Source organism: Homo sapiens, chromosome 15 (assembly GCF_000001405.40).
Source record: "Homo sapiens chromosome 15, GRCh38.p14 Primary Assembly".
In the NCBI taxonomy this organism is placed as follows: Eukaryota; Metazoa; Chordata; class Mammalia; order Primates; family Hominidae; genus Homo; species Homo sapiens.
This window is the reverse complement of record NC_000015.10, coordinates 98,396,435-98,421,772: the sequence shown is the minus strand read 5'-3', so window position 1 is coordinate 98,421,772 and position 25,338 is coordinate 98,396,435. Positions and strand designations below refer to the sequence as shown.

Sequence of the window (25,338 nt, the reverse complement as noted above, 5' to 3'; positions counted from 1 at the left end):
CTATCGGCTCCCGGGGCGCGCCCGCCTCCTGGCTTCCCGCGGTCCCACCAGAGTCCCCGAAGTGTAAAAACAACGTGCCGCTGTGAGCCGAGGCCGGTCTCACTGAGATGCCCGGGAAACGATGTGCAGCCAGGAGGCTTGGCCGAGAGGGAACGCTGACTGCGGGACTGTGGCTGCAGAGCCTCTCAGGGCTTTACACGTCTCCCTCTCCACGCCCCGCACGCTGCCCCCACTGAAGCCCAAGCCCCTTGGGGTGGCAGAGTAGGACTGCAGGGCTGGGCATGTGCGTGAGGGGTCTGCGGTCGCTGAGGGAGCAGAGCAGGGACGGCAGGGTCGGGCCGGGGCCGAGGAGACGCTGGCTGCAGGGGGCTGCGGGACACACGCAGCAACCACGGCCTTTCCAGCAGCAGTCTCCTTGGAGGATGAGGCCGTAATGGCGATAGTAATAAACACAGGGCGGCAATGAGAACAAACGCACTGAGCCCTCACTGCACCCCTACTAGGGAGGGACTGTGGTGTCCCCAGTACACAGGTGGGGAAGTGGAGGCAGGATTCCAAACCAGGCCTCTGATTCCAGGGCCTCCTTGCCCCAAGCCAGAGACCCCAAGGTCTGCAGTAGAGGTCCTAGGAGCTGTGGTGTCCCGATTGAGGGGGCTGCCCCAGCCTGGGGCCTTCTTGGGATGTGTCTCTCCTCATTGGCTCCAGGGGCAAGGAGGAGCCACGGGACCCAGGATTCCCGACTGTTCCACCCAAGGCCCCACCTCCTCCCTCAGCGCAGCTTTGCAGGCGCTGGGGCTCCCAAAGGACGGAGCTTTGAATCCACCTGGGAGGCTTAAGAGAAAGTGCTGAGTCCCCCATGCCCTACCCCTGAGACTGCTGACAGGCATCGCTGAGGGCTGCAGCTTTGGAATCGGGCATCTTCTGAGGAAGAGAAAGGCACCACAGCCACGGCACAGAAGACTAGGTGAGGGCAGTGGGAAACCTCTGCACCAGGGCAAGCGGTCGGCCAGAGCCGACGTGTCCATAGGGACCAGATGGAGAGGGGGAGGTGGATGAACATGAAATACGAGTGCAGGAAATTGCTGTGTAGACAGCACCCCTGGAGCTGAGCGAGGCTCCCGGCAGGGTCTCCTCTCAGTGACTGGCGCTCCGCTCACCTAATTGCTCAATCTGGGATGCCTGGGAGCTGCCCTCGCCGCTTTCTTGCTGCGTGTTCTCGGGCAAATGCTTCAACGAGCCCCTCAAGACCACCCCTCAAATGCCCCGCTCCTCAAGCCTCCCTCAGCTCTTGCTTTAGTGTTCCAGAAACACACTCTAATTCAGGTTTCTGGTTTTACTTTCTCATAGGGCTCTGTGTTAGGGCGTTCGTGTATTGTTAGAAAGAAATACCTGCAGCTGGATAATTTACAAACAGAATGAGTTTAATTGGCTCACAGTTCTGCAGGCTGTAGCGCATGGTACCAGCACCTGCCTCTGGGTGGGGGCCTCAGGAAGCTTCCAATCATGGCGGAGGGCGGGGGGTGGGGTGGGAAGCCAGCATCACAGGCGAGAGCAGGAGCAAGAGAGAGGGAGAGTGTCACACACTGTTAAACAACCAGGTCTCAAAGAGTCACCCACTGTGGTGGGGACAGTACCAAGCAGGCCATACCCCCGGGATCCGCCCCCATGGCCCAAACACCCCCCACAGGACCCACCTGCGACATTGGGGTTTACACTTCAACATGAGATTTGGAGAGACAAACAGCCAAATTATATCAGCCCCCCCAGTTTACTGCCTTAAGATTTTTTTTTTTTTAATTTAAGAGATGGGGTCTCACTCTGCTGCCCGGGCTGGAGTACAGTGGTGCAATCAAAGCCCGCTGTAACCTTGAATTCCTGGGCTCAAGCGAGCCTCCTGCCTCAGCCTCTCTAGTAGCTGGGACTACAGATGCGGGACACCACATTCAGCTAATTAACTACTTTTTTTTTTTTTTTTTTTAAGAGATAGGATATCACCATGTTGCTAAAGCTAGTGTTTTAGATCTTTTTGAACTTCTCCCTTACAGCTTTTAACAGTTTGTTATGACCCATCTACTGGTGTGATTTTTGGCCTGTCTCTCTGCCTCCCCCTCCTCCTCCTCCCTCTCCTCTTCCTCCCCCTTCTCCTCCCCGCTCTTCTCTTCCCCCCTCCTCCTCCTCCTCCTCCATTTTCTCCTCCTCCTTCTCCTCCTTCAGGCTGTAAGCCTCCTGAGACTGTCAGTTTTGCTCCCCACTGTGATAGGGCCTGGGGCAGCTCCTGAAATCCAGTGGGACTTGAGAAAATTGGAATCAGCCCTCTCCTGGGCCCCAAGCTGGTCCCCACCCATGCTGCCAGCTTATGCTCTAGTGGTAGAACATTCTCTCCCTCTGCCTGCAGTTACTCAAAGATGAGATTTACAAGCAGACTACTTGGCCGGGCATGGTGGCTTATGCATGTAATCCCAACACTTGGGAGGCTGAGGTGGGCAGATCACTTGAGGCCAGGAGTTCGAGGCCAGCCTGGGCACCATGCAGAAACCCAGTCTCTACTAAAAATACAAAAATTAGCTGAGTGTAGTGGCGCCCGCCTATAGTCCCAGCTACTCGGGAGGCTGAGGCAGGAGAATCACTTGAACCCAGAAGGCAGGGGTTGCAGTGAGCCGAGATCTGAGATCACACCACTGCACTCCAGCCTGGGTGACAGAGTGAGACTGTCTCAAAAAAAAAAAAAAAAAAAAAAAAAAAGCAGAGCTTTTATTTGGAATTAATTTTAAATTGACAAGAGATGCAAAAATGCAGATAGTACAAGGCGCTCCTGTGTACTTTTTATTTCAGCTTGCTTGTGTGTAATTTTTTTTTCGGAGCCACTGGAGGGTGAATTATATGGAACATGGCCCTTTGCCCTTCAGCACTCCAGTGGGTATTTCCTAAGAATGGAGATAACCTCTTATGTCATCACAGTGCAGTCACTGACACCAATTTGCATTGATACAATACTTTCATCTCATCTACTGTCCGTATTCTAATTTTGCCACTTGGTTTAATAATGTCCTTTGTAGCATCCCCCCTCCTCCATAGTAGATGATCCAGTTTAGGGGCAGATGCTACATTTAGCTGTCATGTCTCTTTATATACCTTGATCTGGACCATTTCCGCAGCATTTCTTTGTCTTTTATGACACTGGCATTTTCGAAGCATATAGTACTTCTGCTTTTAAAAAAAGAACCTTCTTTATTTTGTGTGTGTCCGATGAGTCTCTGTAATTATGCAGGAACACAGAGCAGACGATTTTATTTCTTCTCAAGGTATCCCATGTGAAAGCAGATTTAAAATCAGAACCGTCTTGAAATGCCTTCTCATAGCACAAGCTATTAATATTTTCATTTCTCTTTGCTACCATGGGATCTGTGCAATGCTGGAACGTCAGGAGATGGCTCTCTTTCAATGTGGACTCTGAAAAAAACTCATTTATTCTCAGCTGTGGTTGAAAGACCTTAGTAAGCCTCCTGGCTTCGAGCAGGAAGGCCGGCTTTAGGCATGAGTGATGCTGGCAGTTCCCACCCTTCCCAAATGCCATTTTCCCTGTCGGTACTGGCCGGGCTGCGCTATAAAGTCGTCCCCACAGAGCGGCTGTGGCTGGGAACAATCGACCTTTTACCTCCGCGGTGGTTTCGCTACATCGTTTTGAAAACACTCCAGTGTGCCGTAGCACAGCGGGGCTTCCAGGGAGACGGTTGGCAGGCTCCCTTGCCCTCTGGGCCACCTCTCTGCACTTGGAGTGCTGCTAAAATGCCGATGTCCCAAGAAGAGGGGACACCAGAAGCTATTACTGGCCATTGGCTACTGAAGATGGCCTAATAACTGGGTGTCCCTGGGGAGGATGGTGGAGAACTGGACCACAGGGGTGCATGGTGCATGGTCTCTGGGACTGATAGCAGCGGTGACACCCTTGTAGACATCCCTTTCTGTGTGGCCCTCACTGGTCCCAGAAAGGAAAAAAGACATATCCTTGTTGATGCTTTAAAGCGTCCATTGAGAAAGCAGCCAGAGGAGGTGGAAAGAGAACCACTGTTCGCTGTTCGAGTCTTGGGTTCAAATCTTGGCTCTGCCTCTGGTGAGCGAGGGGTTTTAACCGCTTCTGTGCCTCTTCGGTGTCCACAGTTTGTGGGGACGATAGAGGGAGTGATCTAGGGAACAGACGTCGTGTCTGCTTACAGTCAGAGCTTCCACAGTGCAGTGCGCCGCCTCCTCCTGCCTCTGACTACTCTGTACTCCCTCAGCATTGAGATGGGGAGGCTACGTCACCATGCCCCAGATATGGAAATAATTGTCACCAAGAAACACCTTATCCTAATTACAGTTTCCTGCAAAGAAGAGGCACATTCATAAGAGGAAGCACCGGGTTGGTCAGGGTGATTGGGTTGGTCAGTCAGGGTGATTGGGTTGGGGAAAATGGGTCAGAGGTCTTTATTGTGCCTTCCGTGGGATGGAGCAGAGAGGCAGGGCAAGCAGTCTCAGGATTGGCAAATTTGAAGAATTTCCAGGCTCCAGGGCATCCAGGGTGTCCCTAGTTGTCTGGCACCTGGCCCTGGGGTGATCAGGGTGGATGGATGGTGGCTCAGGAGGGTGGGAACCTAATGAAGGAGGATGCTGGAGAGGGTGTGTGAGATCAAGATTTGTTTGTTTGCACTTGAAAAACATACTTGGGGGTGGGGGGCAATTTGTTGACTCTCTTAGGAATCAGCTATCGCTGGAGGGGCAGTCCCTTCAGGGTCAGCAAAACCACAAATGTCATAGCATCAGAATACAGAAATAAAAGAAATCAGAAGACATGTTTGATATGGGTACTTCCGTCCCCTGCGAGGAGTACGTTCTAACTTTGGACAGCCCCTCAGGAGGCTGCTCTCTGGGTCCCCAAGGCTATGGCTTTGTTTATGGTCTTCTAGAATGCATGCTTCACTGACACAAATATAAACTTCCTGGGTGAGCACAGAATGGCTAGATTCTTCATTTAAATGGGGATGCTTCCAGCATTCCATGAAGCTTGGCAGGCAGAGCAGTGCCTGCAGAGGCCTTGTCAAAAGCCTCTCTTCAATCTGTTTCTTGCTCAACAGGTCAGCCAGTGCAGTTACCAGGAGATGCCTGCCTGGGGTGGGTTGGGGAGGCCCAAGAAGAGGACCGACCCCTTGGGAAGAGAGTGGCGAGCTGGCTTTGCATGACAGCCTGTCTCAGTGGAGTTTGCGTTCTCTCCGATGGCAAGTCCGAAGGGGAAGCAAAACATGGTACAGACCGCTCTGGAATGTAAGGGCTCTGAGCTCACTAGGTTTTGTTTGCAACTGGGAATGAGGCCATCTCGGGTGACCAGCCCCAGCAGAGAGCAGTAGAGTCAAGTGGCCCTGCACATTACTTCCTGTGTGTGTTTGTGTGTGTGTGCACTTGTGTAGGCTGTGGGGCAGTCAAAACTGTTGTGAGCTCCAGGGGTGACGGTGAAGGTCAGTGCTGTGCAAGGCCACTCATGGGCCACAGTGGGTACACACTTGGGGCAGAGTAGGGAAGAAGACCACCTTTTTTATGGCTCTCTGAAACTGAAGAGTTGGGGGCTACTGATGAGGATTGATGTTGTCAGAGTTCTGGGAGGAGCAGCTGACTTGATATCAACAACTGGGCTTGAACTGGAAAAATCTGGAAGGACGGTGAAACACTTTGACAGAGAGACTACAGCACATTGGTCAAGCCAAATTGCAATGCCCTTTCATCCAGCTTTTTTTTTTTTTTTTGAGACAGAGTCTCGCTCTGTCACCCAGGCTGGAGTGTAGTGGTGCAATCTCGGCTCACTGCAATTTCCACCTCCCAGGTTCACGCCATTCTCCTGCCTCAGCCTCCCGAGTAGCTGGGACTACAGGTGCCCGCCACCACACCCGGCTAACTTTGTACTTTTAGTAGAGATGGGGTTTCACTGTGTTAGCCAGGATGGTCTCGATCTCCTGACCTCATGATCCGCCTGCCTTGGCCTCCCAAAGTGCTGGGATTACAGGCGTGAGCCACCGCGCCCGGCCCATCCAGCCTTTAAGTTTCTCTGAGAATGTGCAATGTGACTTCCTCCCTCCTCCTCTTGTTTCCTTCTTTCCCTTTTTCCCTCCATTCCGTACCTACTATGAATCAGTCACTGTGTCTTAGGCACTGGGGACAAAAGGCCCAATGCTGGCCTGTGTGGAGTTTATAATCTAGACCAAGGTTCTTCAGCCTCAGCGTTATTTAGTGCTCTGGGCTGGGGAATTCTGCTGTCAGCAGCTGTCCTGGGAATTATGTGGTGTGCAGTTGCCTCTCTGGATGCTACCTACTGGATGCCAATAGCACCTCCCTCTGCTCCAGTATATGGCAATCAACAAATGTCTCCAGACATTTCCCAATGTCCCATGGGTGTCAGTCTCCCTGGTTGAGAACCACAGGTCCAGTGGGGAAAACAGCCAACCCATCAGCCTGGGCAATACAGCTTGCATAGCATGGCCAGAGTCCCCGGATGGGTCTACTCAGGAATCTTCTCCTGATCAGAGTCTGGGGCAGTGGGATTTGCAGTAGGTGTTTAGTACATACCTGTTGAGGAGGTAAGACCCCCACATAAAACCACAGCCAGGAGAAGAACTTTTTTTTTCTAGACAGAATCTCACTCTGTCGTCCAGGCTGGAGTACCAGTGGTACAATCATAGCTCACTGCAGCCTCCAACTCCTGGGCTCAAGTGATCTTCCTGCTTCAGCCTCTGAGTAGCTGGGACTACGGTCATGTTCTACTGCACTTGGCTAATTTTTTAGTTAATAGTTGTTGTAGAGACAGGTTCTTGCTGTGTTGCTCAGGCTGGTCTCAGACTGTTGGCCTAAAGGTACCCTTCGACCTTGGCCTCCCATAGTGCTAGGATTACAGGTGTGAGCCACCACACCCAACTGTCTTAATATCATGGGGCGCTTGTCCTGGATTCTCTGCATTGGTTCCGTCAATCAGGTATCTGTAAATAAGATGAACAATAAAATGACCTTCCTTGCTAATCTCTTTCTGCTTTTCCTTTACCTTGAAATAAGTGCAGTGGAGGAGAATGAGTTCATTTGGCGGCAGGCCTGCAACCAGAGGAGGTTTTCTACTTTTGAGTAAACCTCTCCCTTAATGTTTCCGTGGCCTTTTAAAGAGGAGGCAAAGAAGAGGGTCCTAATAGTTTTCCTTGTATCTGATCCAGGGGAGCCAGCTTCAGCTTTTGCCAAGTGTTTGGTTCATCTGACGCTTGGTGAAGTCACATGCATCTGCTGCCCTGACATCCAGGAGAAGGAACCATCTGGCTCAAGAATCCATTACAGAAGAGGCCGTCAGCACCCGTCACTTGTGCCTCCCCATGTCCAGCTGAGTTTCTTTCTCTCTGCTCAACTCCAAAGTGTTGATGAGTCAATCGATGCGGCCCTTGCCACTGCGTCTCACTGGGAATTCCGGTGAGGTGGCCGTCTGCCTGCGTGCGTGCCAGCTAGCTCCTCGATCAATGCACACTTCTTTAAAGTGCTGCAGGATGCTGCTGGAAAGGATTTGGTCTGGCTCATTTGGCTGTTGAAAAAGGCCACGCCTGCTTCAAGTTCCTCCAGTACTCGGGGGTAATTACAAGCATTTTCAGAAAACAAAACAGCCAAATGGAAAATTTTTGTTACAAAACATGCTTTGGCCACTTCAGTAGTTGAAATGACAAGAGAATGGAAACCCCCTTAAGTGAGATCATGCTGTTTTTGAGAACATATTCTTTAAGAGGAAAACTGTTCTAAATACTAACAATGGTGACAGTGGTGCTGTTTATGATAACAGTGACAGATCCACATAATTTCCTTTCCCAAAGGTTCCTTTTGGTCACTCAGGCTCCCAACCTTGGAATAATCTTTCTTTCCTGCATATCATCTCATGGTCAACTAGTTGCCAAGATCCCTAGGATTTCCACCTTTCATCCCACATTGCTGTTTCTCTCCTTTCCATCCACATCACCTTTGTTCAGCTCCTCGTGTGTCTTTCCTAAACTTTGGCAAGGGCTGTCTAACCTGTATCCTTCCTCCCTTCCATTTTATCATTCACCTTTCAACCATTTCCCAGGAATTCCATTGTATTAGTTACCTGTTGCTGAGTAAAAATTAGCCCAACACGTGTTGGCTAAAAACAACAAATATTTACTATGTCACATAGTTGCCAAGGGTCAGGAATTTGGATACATCTTAGCCAGGTGGTTCTGGCTCATGGTGTCTCATGAGGTTTTAGTCAAGATGTCAGCTGGGGCTGCAGTCATCTAAGGCTTGACCGGGACTTAAGGATCCACTTCCAAGATGGCATGCTCATATGGCTATTGGTAAGAGACCTCGGTTCCTCCCTAGTTTTTGATAGGAGGTGTCAGTCTCTCATTACATGAGTTTCTCCACAGTGCTGCTTGAGTGTCCTTATGACATGGCAGCTGGCTTCCTGCAGAACAGGTGATCCATGAGAGGAAGCGAGGAGGACAATACCATGCATTTTAAAACCTAGTCTTGGATGCCAGACACCATGTCTTCCTCATATTCTGTTAGAAGCTGGCCCACATTTTAGTTTAGAGGAGGGGAATTAGGTTCCACCTTTAGAAGGGAATGGTGTTGAAGAATTTGTGGACATACTTTAAAATGATCTCATCCCTTATGTAAACATTGCTGTCTGTGTTTTCAGGGAATTTAGTCCACAGGCTCTTGTATGATTGGTTTACCCAGTCTAGACAGACAAGCCGCCAGAAAAGTAACCCAGTCCTGGTGCATCTTTCCTTAAAAACCATTACAGACTGCCCCGTGTTTAAAGAACTCAGCACAGAGTGCCTCTCCCACCCTCTGCCACCCTTAACTTTCCTTCCTTCCCTCCTTCACTCCTTTCCTTCCTTCCTTCTGTCCTTCCTTCCTTCCTTCCTTCCTTCCTTCTTCCCTCCCCCGCTCCCTCCCTTCCTTCCTCTCTTTTCTTTCTGTCTCTCTCTTTTTCTCTCTTCCTTTCTTTCGATGGAGTTTCACTCTGCCTCCCAGGCTGGAGTGCGCTGGCATGATCTCAGCTCGTTGCATCCTCCACCTCCCAGGTTCAAGTGATTCTCGTGCCTCAGCCTCCTGAGTAGGTGGGAATACAGGCGCCCGCCACCATGCCTGGCTATTTTTTTATGGTGGGTTTTTTGTTTTCTGTTTTTTGAGATAGAGTCTTGCTCTGTTGCCCAGGCTGGAGTGCAGTGGTGCAATCTTGGCTCACTGCAACCTCTGCCTCCCAGGTTCAAGCGATTCGCCTGCCTCAGCCTCCCAAGTAGCTGGGACTACAGGCAAATGCCACCACGTCCGGCTAATTGTTTTGTATTTTTAGTAGAGACGGGATTTCACTGTATTAGCCAGGTTGGTCCTAATCTCCTGACTTGTGATCCACCTGCCTCGGCTTCCCAAAATGCTGGGATTACAGGCATGAGCCACCATGCCCCGCCAATTTTTTGTGTTTTTAATACAGACGGGGTTTCACCATGTTAACTAGGCTGGTCTTGAACTCCTGACCTCAGGTGATCCACCCATCTCGGCCTCCCAAAGTGCTGGAATTACAGGTGTGAGCCGCCGTGCCCCACTGCCACCCCTAACTTTTAAGGTAACTGACATTTCTGGCCATATCCTCTCCTACTCCGCAAAGGGCAGCCTACCTTCTAGTTTACCTGGCAACTCGCTCTCTTCTGGACATATCCTGTGCTCCATCAATTCCCACTGCCCTCTGAACTCCTGCTTCTCCCTTACACCCAGTTTTAATCACCAAGACCTGCTGGCTTTACTTTCTTAATGAGTTCACAAATAGTTCCCCACCTCTCTCTCTCTCTCTTTCCAGCTCAGGGTCAGACCCCTGGCTTCTCATCAGGAGTCCTGCAAAAGCTTCCCCTCTGGGTTCTCTCTCCACCTTTGCCTGCTTCCTCACCAATGTCTGGAGTTGCCCTGTGACCCACCTAAAGTGTGAATCTGACCACATCCACTCTTTGCTTAAAATCCTTCCCTGGCCTTGCATCAATGACTGGATAAAGTCCAGCTTCCTCCTGCAGAATCCAAGACCCTCTTACAGGTCCCCCAGCTGATGGTCCTCTCAAGACTCCCATGTCTTGTTCTTGCAGCACTGCACCCCAGGCTGTTACAGACACACTGGGTGGTGCCCACCTTTTCCCTTTGCTTGTTTCCCTTTGGCAGGTGAGTTGAAGAGCCAGTGGGAAAGAAAGCTGTACAAGAGGGAACCCACGTGAATGCAAGCCTCAAGAGCCTGAAGACATCTAGGGGAGCACTCAGCCTTCCATCTGGCAAAGAATGGGGCTCCTCAGTTAATTCTATGTAGGCCTCGGAGGACAGGGTACATATGGATTCTGCAACCAAGGTGCTAATTAAACTCCCTAATGATCTTGACCTGGAAAATGAGGCTCTTTGCTGAGCCCCCTGTAAGCCTGGCAGAGCCGCTACTAATAACTCATAGCATATCTGGCAGAGTAATATGCCCAGAGGAATTTCTGCTTCTTTGTGCATTTTTAAACTCACTTCCAAATTAGGGAAAGAAGCACTTTCTCACTTTTGTGCAAGAATCCACATTTCTGAATGGTTCCGCCCTGTTCTTGCCTAACACAGGCAGTGTTGTGATATGATGTGGATGCCCAATTAATATGAATACAGTTGACTTTTAAAGAGAGCAGTAAGGGAATTCTGAGCTCCCTCACGCTTTGCTAAATGCAAAACAAAGCTGTCTTCTGCAATGACCTTCCCCTTCTACTCAGAGCTGTTGCGTCTTGGGAAGGGTTTGATTCCTTTGTCTGGGAGTCATTCTTGTGGGCATCACTGTCCAGCACTGGCATGGATGGAGCTTACTGGATGTTTCCTTTTCTTGTGGTGTGTGGTGCCCTTTAGTGTTATTTGCGAAATATTTTCCTTTGTTCCCACTCTGGCCGCATGCTAGGGTTGCCCATCCTGGCCCTGTCATGATTGGATAGTGTCAAGTAATTAGCTCACATCAATGATTGTGCATGGATCATATCCACAGACTGGACATTTAATTGTCATTATGAGACCCTCCAGATCTGTTTCCTCCTGGCACTGCTGATCAGAACCATTTGAGATGGTAATTGTTCAGTAAGCCTGGATCTCTGAGCAGAGTCCCCTTGCTGACCTGTATCATGATTTTTAGCCCACTGAGATTTTGGAGTTGTTTGTTACTGCAGCACAGCCTAGCATATCCTGACTGATCTATAGCGTTTGGCATTTTCAGCAACTTAATATTTACCATAACTTTGCTTGCACAAAGGCAGTGTGCCTTTGCTGTTTTGTCAATTCACAATTCTTGTGCGAATTTTCACTAATGGCCAATTAGAATTTATTATTCTTTTCAAGGTTGGGAAGAGGATGTTGTGGACTAATATCTTTGGCAACTCAGCCCAGTGCCAAGTGGTCTGATATCTGAGAATGACCTTGGCATACTTTGTGAGGTTAACCCTTCCTGGCTTAAAAACAGATGCCCCAGCTTTGGCCAGGCCACTCCATGGTTAATATTGATAATGACAACTGATGGGGTGCCAACTATGTGCCAGGCAATGAGTACCTCTAATTATTACTATAACTCTATAAGTGAGGCTGTATCTTATTCCCATGTCTCAGATGGTAACACTGAGGGACAAACAGGGTAAACCTATTTAAATAGATTGCCTAACCTCTCTTTGATAGTGGAGCCCAGGTTTGGTCCCAACTCTGGATGTAAAAGTCTATGTTCTTTTTTATTGCACCTAGCCAACTCTCCTTTGTAAATTTCTAGGAGAGGGATGAAAGGTGCCTCTGTCCTTAGGGATGTTATAGAAATTATCCTTGATGGTATTAGCCCGTTGACATTCTGTGTTTGGTTGGATGTCACATTTTTATTCATTCATTCATAAATTCATTCATGTATTTATCCACATACTAATCCATGCATTCACTCTTTCATAAATTCATTCACTCATTTGCTCATTCATTAACTCATTCACGCATTCCTTAGGCTTTGATGAGAATCTGTCAGGTGCTGGGTTTTGTTTGGGATTGGGATTTAGACAAGGACTGGTTAGGATTTCTGCCTTCAACCTCAGTGGACTCACAGCCTTGGAAGAACAGCTCTGTGTGTGTGTGTGCGTGTGTGTGTGTACGTATGTATATATATGTATACTATACATATGTGTACACCCACAGCTGTTCCTCTAAGGCTGAAGGCTGTAAGTACATACATGTATTCATATATACATACATATATGTACACATATACATATGTGTACACACACACACACACACACACACAATGGTACAGATATGTCCAGGGAAGTATGAGCCCACTGAGGAGGTGGCTTCTGGTCTAGATAGGATATAAAGCTGTGTCAGGGCTGGCTTCCTGCAAGAGATGATAGTTTTAGAGTTTTTTGTCTTCTATTTTTCTTTATGAGTTTTTCACACTCCCCCCGACCCTCATTCCACTAAATTCACAGCCTGAGGGTCAATGTCATTATCCCCAGCTATGATCCTTCTGTTTATGAGGGTCACAGTGTCCATGGCTTCTATATTCCATCCCCTTCCCCTTCCTCTTCTCCTGCCCCCACTGTGGTGTCATTATTTCCCACATCTAGAAGGTTAATGGCCCCTTCCAAGGAATGGTGATATGGAATCCTAGCTCTTTGGGGGCATAAATAGATTTTTTTCCCCCCAAAGTTTGGCCTGTCACTTGCTCTTAATGGCTTGAGGTTGGTTGCAGAACTATCCGGCAGGAAAAAATGAAAAGGACCCTCTGATTACGTGCTCCTAAGTTGGCTGGGGTAATTTGAGCAGAAACGGCTTTGCAGCTCTGGGGAAAAAAAATGTAATTCTCGTGTATGAAAGCGTGAACCAGAGTTGCCATGTTCACTTCTTGTTTTTAAAGCCCCCACAGGCCAAGTCACATATCTGGGTCAGAGGGTCTATTGATTACCTGTCACGCCCTGAGGTGTGGGTGATCAATAATACTAACATACAGGAAAGGTGGCCTTGAATGCAGAAATCCCATTGTGTTGACCATCCATTTTTTCTCGCCTGTAAGTGCTTTGCAGGGAAGCAAAACTGTCTAACCTAGGGCCACAAATGACCCAAATCCTAAAACTGTTCCTACAAACCAAGGCTTTGGAAATGCCCCGTTCCAAAGGAAGCAGAGGCAGGTTGTTGGCGCCGTCTCTCAGCGTTCGGACAGTGGGGCAGACAGGGAGGCAGGGGAGTGAGGAGGCAAGGGCGTTGAGGAGAATTCTTGAGGAATAGAGACAGAGGTCCCTCGCACCACAACCTTGACCTTTCATTAATGTTTAATCAGGTGCTTGGAGCAAAGTACTTTCAAAAAGTCCTGAAAATCCTTATGACTAATGAAGCATTCTGTGACGGGAAGCCTGGCTTTGCCTGGATCTGCTTGTGAAGCTCTCCATGAACCCCTTTCTTTTTGGGGGGCCCCCTGCGCAGGGCATGCACCAGTTTTTATTTTTACTTTTTTTGAGACGGAGTCTCACTGTGTCACCCAGGCTGGAGTGCAGTGACACCATCTTGGCTCACTGCAACCTCCTGAGTTCAAGCGATTATCCTGCTTCAGCCTCCCGAGTAGCTTGGATTACAGGTGCCCACCACCAAGCCCAGCTAATTTTTGTATTTTTGATAGAGACAGGGTTTCACCATGTTGGTCAAGCTGGTCTCGAACTTCTGACCTCAGCTGATCCACCCGCCTTGGCCTCCCAAAGTGCTGGGATTACAGGCATGAGCCACCGTATCCGGTCCATGCAACAGCTTCTTATTTTCTGTCTGCCAAGGGGGCCGAGTCTGAGGCCTGTTTTGATGAGTCAATGTCATATGGAATGCTGTGGCTCTTGCAGCCACCTACCCAGTATCCAGTTTCCCTTCCTTCTTTCTAAGGGACTCAGATTTTGTTAATTCCCCTGCTTCTCCTTGGTACAGCCATGGGAAGCGGAAGTGTGGTCGACCCCAGGTGACTGTGCTGAGTCAAGGGGTGAACATTGGACCTTCCTTGGCCCAATCAGAAAAGTGCTGGAGGCCACTCAGGTGGGAGGGGTTCTCACTCCTGCAGGATATAAGTGGTCTACCTTGTCTACCTTCCAGCCCACCTGGATGACACGGTCCATCTGCTTGATGGAAGGCTGCTGATGGAGCCATTGGTGGATCTCCAGGGGACCAGAGTGAAGATGACATTAAGACCATGGATGGCAGAGTACAATTTCTGAAGGCTCTGTAGAGTTGGTAGATCAACATCCTACCTGGCTGTCCTGTTTATAACAGGAAATATTCAATGTCCATATTTTAAAACCAGTTGGAATCCAGGTTGTCTGTTGCTTGTAGTTGAAAACATCCAAACTAGGCAGTGGTGGATACCTTGGGCATAAGCTGCCATCCTGAAATGTGGCCAGGCTGAGCTGGTGGACATTATAAAATCCACAAGTTGGGCCATCAGGTGTGGGAAGGGAGTCAGAATCGCAGAATGTCTGAAAAGAAATGGCTTGTGTTGCCCACAGTAAAGCCAGTAGGGTTCATCACATATCTTGCTGGGAGGTCTTGGTGGGCATTGTCTGGTAGGGAAAGAGTGTGGACGTTGGATGCCACACACCTGCGTGGGCAGATTGCTAGATAAGTCAAGATTGATCAACAATACCAGTTCCACTTGGGTGACATGCTTTAATGATTGTCATGAGCACACGACTGATGGATGTTACCCTCAATGGTGCTTTAAAATGGTTTCTTCTGTAAAAGCCAGCAAAATGTAGACAGTGAGAGAGCAACCTCTGGCACCTTCAGGTACCTGGAAGCACAGGGCAAGAGAAAATGCACCTGGGGTAGGAGGAGAAGGAAGGAGTGACCCAGTTCCACCTACTCACCCACCTCAAAGTCATCAGTCAAAACCTTAGACTTCTAGCCCCAGGTCCACCAAAAGTAAAATCTCTTGGGATAGGGCAAGTGTTCTCAGCAACTTTTTTTTTTTAAGCTAGTCTTTGAACTCTTGCGTTGAGGACTCAGCAGTGGTGGGAGCAGCAGGAAGATGACAGGATTCTGTCCATGTAATCCAGTTGAGGGATTAACTGTGTGAGTGTGCACGTGTAGGTGTGTGTATGTGCACATACTTGTGTGCATGTTTGTGTGTGCACACGTGTGCAGTGTTCTTATGTGCATGTGTGTTGTACATGTGAGTGCACATGTGTGTGGTGACGGAGACAAGTAGGGCTGAAGTCGAAACAGCATAAGCCTGGAGATTTGGAGAAGCAACAAGGGCAGTCCCATTCTGCTCGGAAATGAAGAGCACAGGTGGCTGGGGGTGTTGGGAGTGGGAGACGGCAGCAGAAGATCCCCTTGTAGGGAAAGGGCCTCATAACCCCCCACACAGTTTCTGGGACTGCTAGCAATTCCCCTTGCAGGAGAGAGATTGTCTGCCTCCCTCTATGGATGAGGACATGGAAGGCAGGACTTTAGTGAGCAAGTCCCTCAGCTCACGAGCGAGACTCAGGAAGGGAGGGGAGAGTCTGGTGGGAGACATAGTGTTTCTCACTGGCCTGTCTCCCCACGAGCTGTTGCTGCGCCCTGGGCCACTCCTTCCTCTGTGCCTACCTGAATTTCTTGTCTTTCGAGACTCCAGGTCGTGGCTACCTTATCAATCTTCCTGCTCCTTCCCAAGGCCCAGGTTGGAGCCCCTCTCTGTGTTCAGGAGGACTGGGGGCTCCCCCTACCCTCGCCCCATGTCTTTGTATTGCTATCCCAACTTTAATGCTGGGCTTTTCTGGAGACGTTGGGATCCTTGAGGACAGAGCTGTGTCTTATCCACTGTTATGCTGGGTCCCTTACTAAACAGGTACTGAATGCACTAATCTCAGCCTGGAGCTAGGGGAGGCCAACAGATACCCCTTTGCCTCAATGTTGTAGGTATGGCCTCTTGGGAACTGTGTAGTATTTTTTTGTGGGTGAGTGTGAGTGTGTGTGTGTGTGTGTGTGTGTGTGTGTGTGTGTGTGTGTGTGTGTATGAGAGAGGGAGAGAGACAGCCTGCATCATTCTGCACTGTGTCCTGCATATGTGTAGTCACAGCCCCATTTACAACACCTAGAGTGTGGCTTGAGCATGTCCCAGTTTTCATCAGACTTGGGGATGCCTAGGAAAAGAAGGAGAAAAGTTCGTGAGCAGCAGCAACAGCAGCCTGGGGCAGGGGAGGAGGGGCCTGGCCAGAAGCCCCAGAGGCCCCAGTAGCCGATGGTGAACTGACCTTGTACAGGATAAGCTGTCCCGGTAAAGTCCAAGTCAGAGGCTCAGTCTCCATTCAGGACAAACTTCTATAGGGTGAGGAAGGAGCTCAGACAGGCTGGCCTTGGGATCTGCAGCCTCACTTTACTTGTTCCAGAAACAGAGATTCTATTCAGGGTGGCTGGCCTTGAAGGGGTGTCTAGGAGCTCTGGGAACAGTGCAACTGTGACGTGCACAGTGCCTTTTTTTTTAGCCCAAGGTTATGTGTGGTAAACTATGCATGACATACAATCTATCATCTTACTACTTTAAGTGTACAGTTCAGGGTATTAAGTACATTCACATGGCTGTGCAGCCACCACCAGCACCATCCATCTCCAGAACTCTTATTGTTTTGCAACACTGAAACCGAAAACTGAGAACATGAGGTATTTGGTTTTCTGTTCCTGTGTTAGTTTGCTGAGGATGATGGCTTCTAGCTTCATCCATGTCCCTGCAAAGGACATGATCTCATTCTTTTTTATGGCTGCATAGTAGAATCTCCTTTATTTTTAAGGCTGAATAATAATCCCCTCGTATGTATGTATGATCCATCCAGTCATCCGTCGACAGGCATTTGGGTTGCATGGGGCATCTTTAGTATTTCGATCATCAAATAATTAAATAAGAGGTTGGAGTTTACACGCAGTGTTTTCTATACCGTTGTCTCATTGATTCATTTCCCTGAAATTATATTCATGTGGTTAACTTGATCCTTCTGTGGGAAAGGGCCTGGGAGGCAAAGAAAAGTATGAGTGTGGTTCTGATGCAACCCTTAGACTTTCCTGTGGCGGACAGTGGGTGGACGTCTCAGGTTGATGGTGTCGCAGGTGTCTGTGCAGGGATGGGGTGTTTCTACCGGAACCTACCCAGCTTCCCCACCTTGCCTTCTTTATGTGCGCTGGCTGGCATGGCACGGTGCCCTGCCACTGATGCTGGCGTCGGATGGCCTGGAACTGAGTGTGTGGCCTCAGGCAGGTGACTTTGCTTCTGTGAGCCTCTCTTCATTTGTGGTCCCCAAAAGCGGCCGTGGGAAAGAAATGAGAGAGCACAGTGTCTGAACAATAGTCCTTTTGTGATAAATGGTGGTTTTCTTCCTACTGCTCTCCCACTTGGTGATCATGAACTTCAGAGAAAACATTCCCTGATTTTTGGGGACCCACACACATGGTGATGCGCTGGATGTTGTCACCCTGGTCAGTCTGACTCCCCCCACCCCGGACAGTTGGGCTCTTCCTGAGAAGCCCATCTCACAACGCGTTTGCAGGACTTCCCATGAGTGATTCCCAATTCCATTATTCAGGGATGCGATGAGGCCCCAAGGGCTAAATGTTGTGGCATTGGAAGCAAAACCTACAGCCCAGAGTCAGCTTGGGTGAGAGGCCCATGGGGCCCTCACGGCACCGACCTCAAAGACCTACAGGGATGGAAGCCCGGCAAACAGAAATCCTTCATAATTGCCCAGAAGTTCAAAGCTACTGGTCCGTTAGGTTAATAGCCCTGCAGATCTCATGGCTGGATCCGAAGCAGCATTTGCGGAGTTCACAATGATCCTGGTCACCTTGGACGTTTTATTGTGCCACTCGCTTGCAACAAGCCTCCATCTCAACACAGATGAGATGTACTCCCAAGTAAGGAGTTTGAAAAAGCAGGAAGCACCAGCAGATGGAGCGCGAGTTCGGGATCCCAGCTCAGGCTGGTGCGGTTTGGGACCCAACACACTTGTGCATTTCTGTGGGTTCATCCGCACAGCACGTCCTCCACCGGGGCCCTACCTGCTTCCCACCACTGCGGCCCGGGCCCCTTCCCTGCTCAATTCAGCCCTTTTCTTTAGAGCTCAGGTCCACCCTCCTAGAAACAAGAACACTATGACTAATTATAAAATCATTATATGATTAAACTCAATTAACTTCAAATAACCCTTGAAATTTGCTTAATGTCAGCCTTTGGCCCCGCTTGAACTGTTAAATGTTGCTCTCCTTTGAAATTCCAGTGAGACCAGCTGGTTACAGTCCACTACCTGGCGTGATCCCTGGGCTCTGTGGGGCCACGTGTCTTGGAGTGCAGGGCAGGAAATGATGGCCTGGTGCTGAGGGTCCGGAGCACAGGTGAGGGAAGAGGTTGGGGGAGATAGTGGTGATGGAATTTGGGAACCTTTGGCTCTGCTGGCTATTAGTTGACGAATGGCTGGGAGGAGCTCTGAGGTGGCCTTTCACTTGGGCTCTGACAAGTTTGTTCAAGCCTCTGAGTTTGAACTTGGTGTCTTTTTTGGGCTGAATGTTGTGCTTCTAAAACTCATATGTTGAAATTCTAATCTCCAGTATCTCAGAATGTGACTACTGTATTTGGAGACAGGGCCCTTAAAAATGTGATTAGGGTTAAATGAAGTCATCTGATGTGACTAGTATGCTAATAAGTAGAGGAAATTTGGACACACACACACACATGTGCAGAGGGAGGTCATATGGAGACACGGGGTGGGGGGTGGGGACGGTGGCCGTCTGCAAGACAGAGAGAGGGGTCTCTGGAAGAAGCAACCCTGCTGATGCCTTGGTTTTGGACTTCCACCCTCCAAAACTATGAGGAAATCAACTTCTGTTGTTTAAGCTACCCAGTCTATGGTACTTTGTTGAGGCTGCCTGTGGTGGTTAATATTGAGTGTCAACCTGATTGTACTGAAAGATGCAAGGTATTGTTCCTGGGTGTGTCTGTGAGAGTGTTGCCCAAGGAGATTAACATTTCAGTCAGTGGACCGAGAGAGGCAGACCCACCCACAATCTGGGTGGGACTATCTAATCAGCTGCCAGCGCAGCTAGGATAAAGCAGGCAGAAGGAAGTTGAATGAGGGTGGACTTGTTGAGTCTTCTGGCCTTCATCTTTCTCCAGCGCTGGATGCTTCATGCCTTTGAACATTGGACTCCAAGTTCTTCACCTTTTGGACTCTTGGACTTACACCAGTGGTTTGCCAGGGACTCTCAGGCCTTTGGCCACAGACTGAAGGCTGCATTGTCAATCCTCCTTAATAAACTCCCTTTCATATATGCATCTAGCCTATTCTGTGCCTCTAGAGAACCCTGACTAATATACTGCCGTAGCAAACTAATACAGCACCCTTCATTCTCTGTCTCTCTGTTAGCCTAGAAGGTCAGCCCAGAGTCCTGATAGCAGGGGTGGGAGGCGGGCACCCCTCAGACTAGTTACAGATACAAAGATGAAAGTTGGGAAAGCAAACCAGGGCCCTGTGGGGAGGCTGACAGCCTCCCAGAATTTCAGGTTAGAAAAAGTATTAATATGTAAGAACTGGCTTAGTCTCTGGTACCCTGATTTCCTCACTGGTAAAATTGGGATGATAAGTGTGTGCACCTCATAGTGTTGTGAGGATTAATTTAATTAACTAAACATATAGCTGCCTGGCAAAGAGGGAGCAATTAGTAGGCATTTGCAATTGTGCTCATTTTCTATTGCTGTGTAAGAAATGACCACATACTTAGGTACTTCGGGCAACCCACTTACTAGCTCATGGTTCCGTAAGACAGAAGTCTGGATGCAACAGGACTGAATTCTGTGCTTGGGGAGGTGGCCAGGCCAGTGCACCTGGGGAAAAATCCACCTCCACGCTCAGTCTCTGTCTTTGCTGGTTTTCAGCTGGGGGTTCTCTCAGCTCCTAGAAGTCACCCACATTCCTTGACCTATGGTCCCTCCATCATCAAAGCCAGCCACTGAGAACCTCCCTTGCATGGAACCCCTCTCATGCTTTGAGTCTCTTTTGCTAGGAAGAGCTCTGCCCCTTCTAAGGGCTCAGCTGATTAGGTCACACTCAGTCAGGATAACCTCCTGTTCTTAAGATCAACTGATTTGGGACCTTCATTACACCTGTAAAAATCCCTTTATGGAAGCATCTGGATTAGTGCTGGATTGAATATCTGGGGGAAAGTGTGTGTATACCAGGGAGAGGGAAGCTTGGGGGTCTTCTCAGCATTCTGTTTATCACGGCAAGTCTTGTTAGTACATGTGGATCCTTCCAACTCTATCTGGGGAGCTCACTTTGGCCAAAACGCTCTGGTCTGCTTGGCTTTAGACATTTCCCCTGCAAAGCAGGGCTGCAGTAACATGAGGAATGAGGCATTTGCTTTAGTCACTTTGTGTGCCTTCTGCTGACCTGCTGGGAAGAGGTTCAGAATGTCCTTCACTTCAAAATCCCAGCCCCTTTACCCTTGATTGATTGCATCACCCCTTTCTGGTTGATTTCCCTCTTGGGGGTTGCTGTATGGTGATGAGCAACAGTCCTTGCTGTGGTGGCCTTGGGCGTCTTATAGTTTGAGCAATCATCAGCCTCTCCTCGGGAGAGGTCTGGAAAGGATGCCAGACCTGGAGCCAGAGGCTGCTGGCTAAAGTCCTCACTCACTCTTATGATTAACCACCTAATCTCATTTCCTAATTTCTAAATTAGGACTTTGAGAAAGATTTTAAGGATTTCATAAGAGGAGGCACATGAACACATTTTGCCCTTGTAAAACATCAAGCAGACATGAGACAGGTGTTATCGTCCACTTAGATCACCCAATAAGTGAACTTTGCAGGCTGGCTAGAGGAATTTAGATAACTCAGAGTCCTGAAATAATTTCATATTTGCTAGTTAAGTCATTGTTCCTTTATCAGGAAGGACCCTATCATCTGCACATCTTGACGATCTTCCACATTCTCCCTCCTGAGCCATGTTGACTGTGTGAGTGAATGCCAGAATCTTCCCTCTTAAGCTGATAATGAAACCCATGGTTGACTCCTGGATGCAGCTGGAAAGTTTCTAAAGTCTCCACCTAAAGGATGTGATTTTGTGCTACAGGTTGGCCCTCAGAGGTTCTGGATGCTGCTTCTGGTGGTATCTGCACAAGTTCCTCACATGATTCTTCCAGGAAATGTGTGCCCAGTCCTGAGTGGCTGAGACCTTTGATGCTTCTGCACTGAGGGGAGCTGTCCACTTTCACTGTGCCCATGGGCAACTGAGCCAGATGGGTGTTGTGATGATCTTTGTGGTGGTGAATTTTGTGTGTCAACTGGAGGGTGTTTTTGGGTAGAAGAACATTTAGATTGACGAGCTCTGGGTAAAACATGGTCTGCCACAATGTGGGTGGGCCTCATCCAATCAGTTGAAGGTGATTGGATGTTGGGAGGGGCCACCTCCCCATGTGACTTTCCCAGTTTCTTCACATTGGTTTTGTGCACAAGCATGACGTGGGAATGTGATCAAAATATGACTTGATTTTCTCCCCACTGTTCCTTCTGAGTATGGACTTTCCCATGGTGCCTGGGCTCTGTGGCCTGAAAGTCCTTCTGAGGTTATAGGAGCTCCTACAGCTTCTGCAGCAAACACAGTCTTCAGCAGGCATGGAGATGCCCGCTCCAGTGTAATACTGAGCACTCTGACTCTGATGAAAGTCAGAGCATCTCTCCTCCCCAACTAGAGCCAGCCATATGGCCCAGGCGAGGGCATGGGCTCAGCTCATTTGCTTGCTTCTCTTCCCACAGGTTTCAAGTTCTGGCTTCTGCCTCCCTCAAGGCTAGAGCTTGGGGGAGAGAAACAGGGAAAAGAGGTAAGAATAACTTTACTTAATGTCTTAGGTGGTTCAGGCTGCCTTAAAGAACACCACAGCCTAGGTGGCTAAAATCACAGACATTGATTTCTTGTAGCTCTGGAGGCTGGGCAGTCCCAGATGGAGGTGCCAGGATGACTGGGTTCTGGGTCGTGGGGAGAGCTGTCTTTCTGGGTTACAGATGGCTGCCTTCTTACTGTGTGCTCACATGGAGGAAGGAGACAGAGCCAGCTCCCTGCGGTTTCTTCTTATAGGGGCATTATTCCTATCATGAGGGCTCCACCCTGAGGACGTCATCTAAACCTAATTATCTACCAAAGGACCCATCTCCAAATACCATTACATTGGGGGTTAAGGTCTCAACATATGAATTTTGGAGGGCACAGGGCAGTCCCCAGCCTTGACTCACGATACCATGAGTTACTGTTAGCTCCCTGCATCTGGCCAATCTCCAGAGCTGCCTCTTCATCACAAGCATGTGCCTGCGGGTCCTTCAGAGGCAAAGGCCCTCAGGAAGAGGGTGATGCTCACCTCACACAGACCTCTTGGTGGCATGACCTCTTTTAAAATGTTCCCAAGACAAGCTCTAGCCTGTGGATTCCTCTCTGGGTCCCTGACCTTCTGCCTCAGCTCCAGGAGATCCTTTCTTTAGATCCTCAGGCATGGGCCAGACACAGCCCACTGCACCCCAACTCAAGGGCCCTTGCTGAGCTCCTCCAAGTGTCCCTTCAGAGCCCCTTTTTGCAGGAGAACTTGCAAATTGAAACCTTGAGGGAAGGACCCAAGATCCTCCCTATTTCTCAGGAGCCCTGAGGTCATCCGCAGCCCTGGCCACACCGGGTGCATAGGATCTTACTCGTCTCTGCTTCCATCTCCTCCTGTTGTCTGGCCTCTTTTGTAAGCTGAGTCCACGTGGTGTTAGAGCTGCTGTGTTGACCACATCTGCCTGCTCTGTGTCTTGTGGCCCAGCTTTTCAAGAGAGACCACCACTGTTTTCTGCCAGACCTTAGAACGGTTAATGGGATCCCTAGGATGTATGTTTTGCTCTATTCAGTCCAGCTGTGGCCACAAGACCACCCAGACCAAACACAGCCACCAAAGCCACAGGCTGGACGGGAGTGGGACAGGCACTCTAGAACATGCCTCCTGTAGCCCAGGGCGAGACTTTATTTTTCCTTATGGGCTGTGGTGTCCAGCTCATTACTTTGCATGAAATAGGCACTGGGCTCACCAGTGAGAAGAATACAGATCATTTTTAGGAAAGGCATTGTGTTTTGTCTTTTTCTCTATATGCTGGCAGCACCATGCAGCATGCTTTATATGATGATGGTGCCTGATAAATATTGTTGACTTATTCACTGGGAAAAAGCCGGTCTAGACATGCCTTCTGGAAATGTCCAGTAAGCCCCATTATTCCTTTTTGCAGTCAATTGTTGTGGAATGGGCCTTTTGGCATTAATCCTGAAAGGGCAGTAAACAAAGATGGCTGTATAATTTTATTGTCTCTGATCTTCCATCAAAGCCAGCTTCCTCGCCTCCACCCTCATCTCTGCCTCATTGCTTCTGGGTTCACCCCCAGTACAGCTGTTGGATCACGCTAATAGCCCTTGGATCTTCATTGTGAACAATAATGTTTGTTTCCAGAATAATTGACTCCAGCAGGGGAAACAAAGGGTATAGAACACTTTATAACACTTACTGTGAAAAAGCGAAAATAAAGAATTTCCTTGATGGCATTTAGTTCAGGGAACACAATTCATCGGAGTTGTCTGTATCTACTTATGTTTTAGTGATTAAATGCTGGGGGAAAATAGCCTCAGACATAAAATACGAAGAGCATTTCTGGCAAAGCCTGTTGGTTTAATTCAGATGTTAAATATTTTCAGCAGGGTCAAGTGCTGAAGGCCCGTATGCTTTGTCCTTCGAGTGAAGCGAGTTCAAATAAAAAGGAGATAATCAGTAGCCCCAACCTGGGATACGCGGCAATGGGGAAGGGGTTAGAGGTCCTCATTTTACAGGAAACGAATGTTTCAGCTCTGGGGCTCTGAGAAAAGAATTTGAAATGTGGGTAATTTCATTATGTAAAAGGCAGCTTAGAAAAATCCTTGTTCCAGGAAAATAGATGGCTTATTTAAGGTTGATTAAATTGGAACTCTCTCACAACAGTTTTGTCTGCCTGCCATTTCCCCAGCTTGGACAAGGGGACATTCCAGTGGAGGAACGGGGCAGAGCAACTGCTCGGAGGAGGCCCTGCCCGGTTTCCATGTGTCATGAGCTAATGGCCAGGAATGGGTGGGCGTTGGTTGGCTTCCTCTTCTCAGGAAGCAAACCCATAGGTCTCTGGGGCGAATTCTAGTCTTTGGGGCCTCCAGCTGCTTGCATTACGAGGTTCACACCCAAAACGTTCTTTATTGTCTCCCCGGTACCTCAAAGCAAGAGATGGGCACTGTGACCCCTTGTCCAGCTGTCCCATAGGGGTGGTCCTGCAGGAGATAACCAGCGGGGCTTCCCACAAAAGTATACTCTTAAACATGGAGAGAAATCTTCATCACACTGATGGGTCAATATGGCTTAATTATTACTAACCCAAATACCACATTTAAATAGGTGAGATTTAGGGAATTACTATTATGTTCACTTTTATGTTCAACTTTCCTTACAACTAGCTATAGTATATAGAGGTAACTGGAAATAACTCTATAAAATGGAATTTTTTATTAAGTCAATTAAATATACACATGAATCAATTTTAGTGTCAACATAGTTAAAATGAACTATGCAATTAGGATAAGATTTAAATAATTGTCTCCTTTATTTAGTAGCTGTACTCACAGACTGAATTAGAAAGAAATAGGTAAACTGAAGTCAGAACATAACTTAAAAATGAAACAAAACAGAATAATACACACAAACTCTTACTTTAAAATAGGAAGTGGCAAGGATTTAGAACAGAATTTTGGAGTGATTCTCCTCTTCCCAGGACCCCTGGATTTGTAGGAGTGTTCTCGAATACTACATGCTACAAAATACTACATACTACAATACTACAAAAAAAAATATATTTTTTGTATTTTTAGTAAGTTGGGGTTTCACCGTGTTAGCCAGGATGGTCTCGATTTCCTGACCTCGTGATCCACCCACCTCAGCCTCTCAAAGTACTGGGATTACAGGCGTGAGCCACCGCTCCTGGCCTGGATATTTGAATTAATAGAGAAATACCCCAATTTATAATTCAGGTGAGGCTTACGGACTTGACACCCAGGACTATTAAAGTGTAAGATAAAATCTGCCAAGACTTTTTTGCAGAGAAACAGCAGTCAATTTCCACAAGGGTTGTTTCTGGGAATTCCTTTTTAAAAACTCAGCTTAATGTATTGCAACATTTTAAGCCTGGGATGACCATGTAGTTTATGGTTCCAGCCTGGCTGCATC

At 48.5% G+C, this 25,338-nt stretch overlaps 1 long non-coding RNA gene across 1 annotated transcript in view, besides 4 other annotated features; it reads left to right on the top strand.

Annotated features, from left to right (window-relative positions):
- Positions 194-769: an enhancer, noted in NCBI's record as "H3K27ac-H3K4me1 hESC enhancer chr15:98964233-98964808 (GRCh37/hg19 assembly coordinates)". NCBI's record gives its function as "activates a minimal SCP1, AML or CMV promoter by ChIP-STARR-seq in naive H9 embryonic stem cells {active_cell/tissue: H9 hESC(naive)}" and the evidence as "EXISTENCE:reporter gene assay evidence [ECO:0000049][PMID:30033119]".
- The window catches only part of LINC02351 (long intergenic non-protein coding RNA 2351), a 97,566-nt gene continuing 73,002 nt past the window's right edge, over positions 775-25,338 (top strand). Inside the window, exon 1 of the long non-coding RNA NR_146567.1 lies at positions 775-964. This is a non-coding gene — a long non-coding RNA (long intergenic non-protein coding RNA 2351). The remainder of the gene's footprint in view (positions 965-25,338) is intronic.
- Positions 4,833-5,333: an enhancer, noted in NCBI's record as "H3K4me1 hESC enhancer chr15:98959669-98960169 (GRCh37/hg19 assembly coordinates)". NCBI's record gives its function as "activates a minimal SCP1, AML or CMV promoter by ChIP-STARR-seq in naive and primed H9 embryonic stem cells {active_cell/tissue: H9 hESC(naive and primed)}" and the evidence as "EXISTENCE:reporter gene assay evidence [ECO:0000049][PMID:30033119]".
- Positions 5,334-5,834: an enhancer, noted in NCBI's record as "H3K4me1 hESC enhancer chr15:98959168-98959668 (GRCh37/hg19 assembly coordinates)". NCBI's record gives its function as "activates a minimal SCP1, AML or CMV promoter by ChIP-STARR-seq in primed H9 embryonic stem cells {active_cell/tissue: H9 hESC(primed)}" and the evidence as "EXISTENCE:reporter gene assay evidence [ECO:0000049][PMID:30033119]".
- Positions 6,597-7,796: an enhancer, noted in NCBI's record as "BRD4-independent group 4 enhancer chr15:98957206-98958405 (GRCh37/hg19 assembly coordinates)". NCBI's record gives its function as "activates an origin of replication core promoter dependent on BRD2, P300/CBP, MED14 and CDK7 cofactors, and independent of BRD4, by STARR-seq in HCT116 cells {active_cell/tissue: HCT116}" and the evidence as "EXISTENCE:reporter gene assay evidence [ECO:0000049][PMID:35650434]".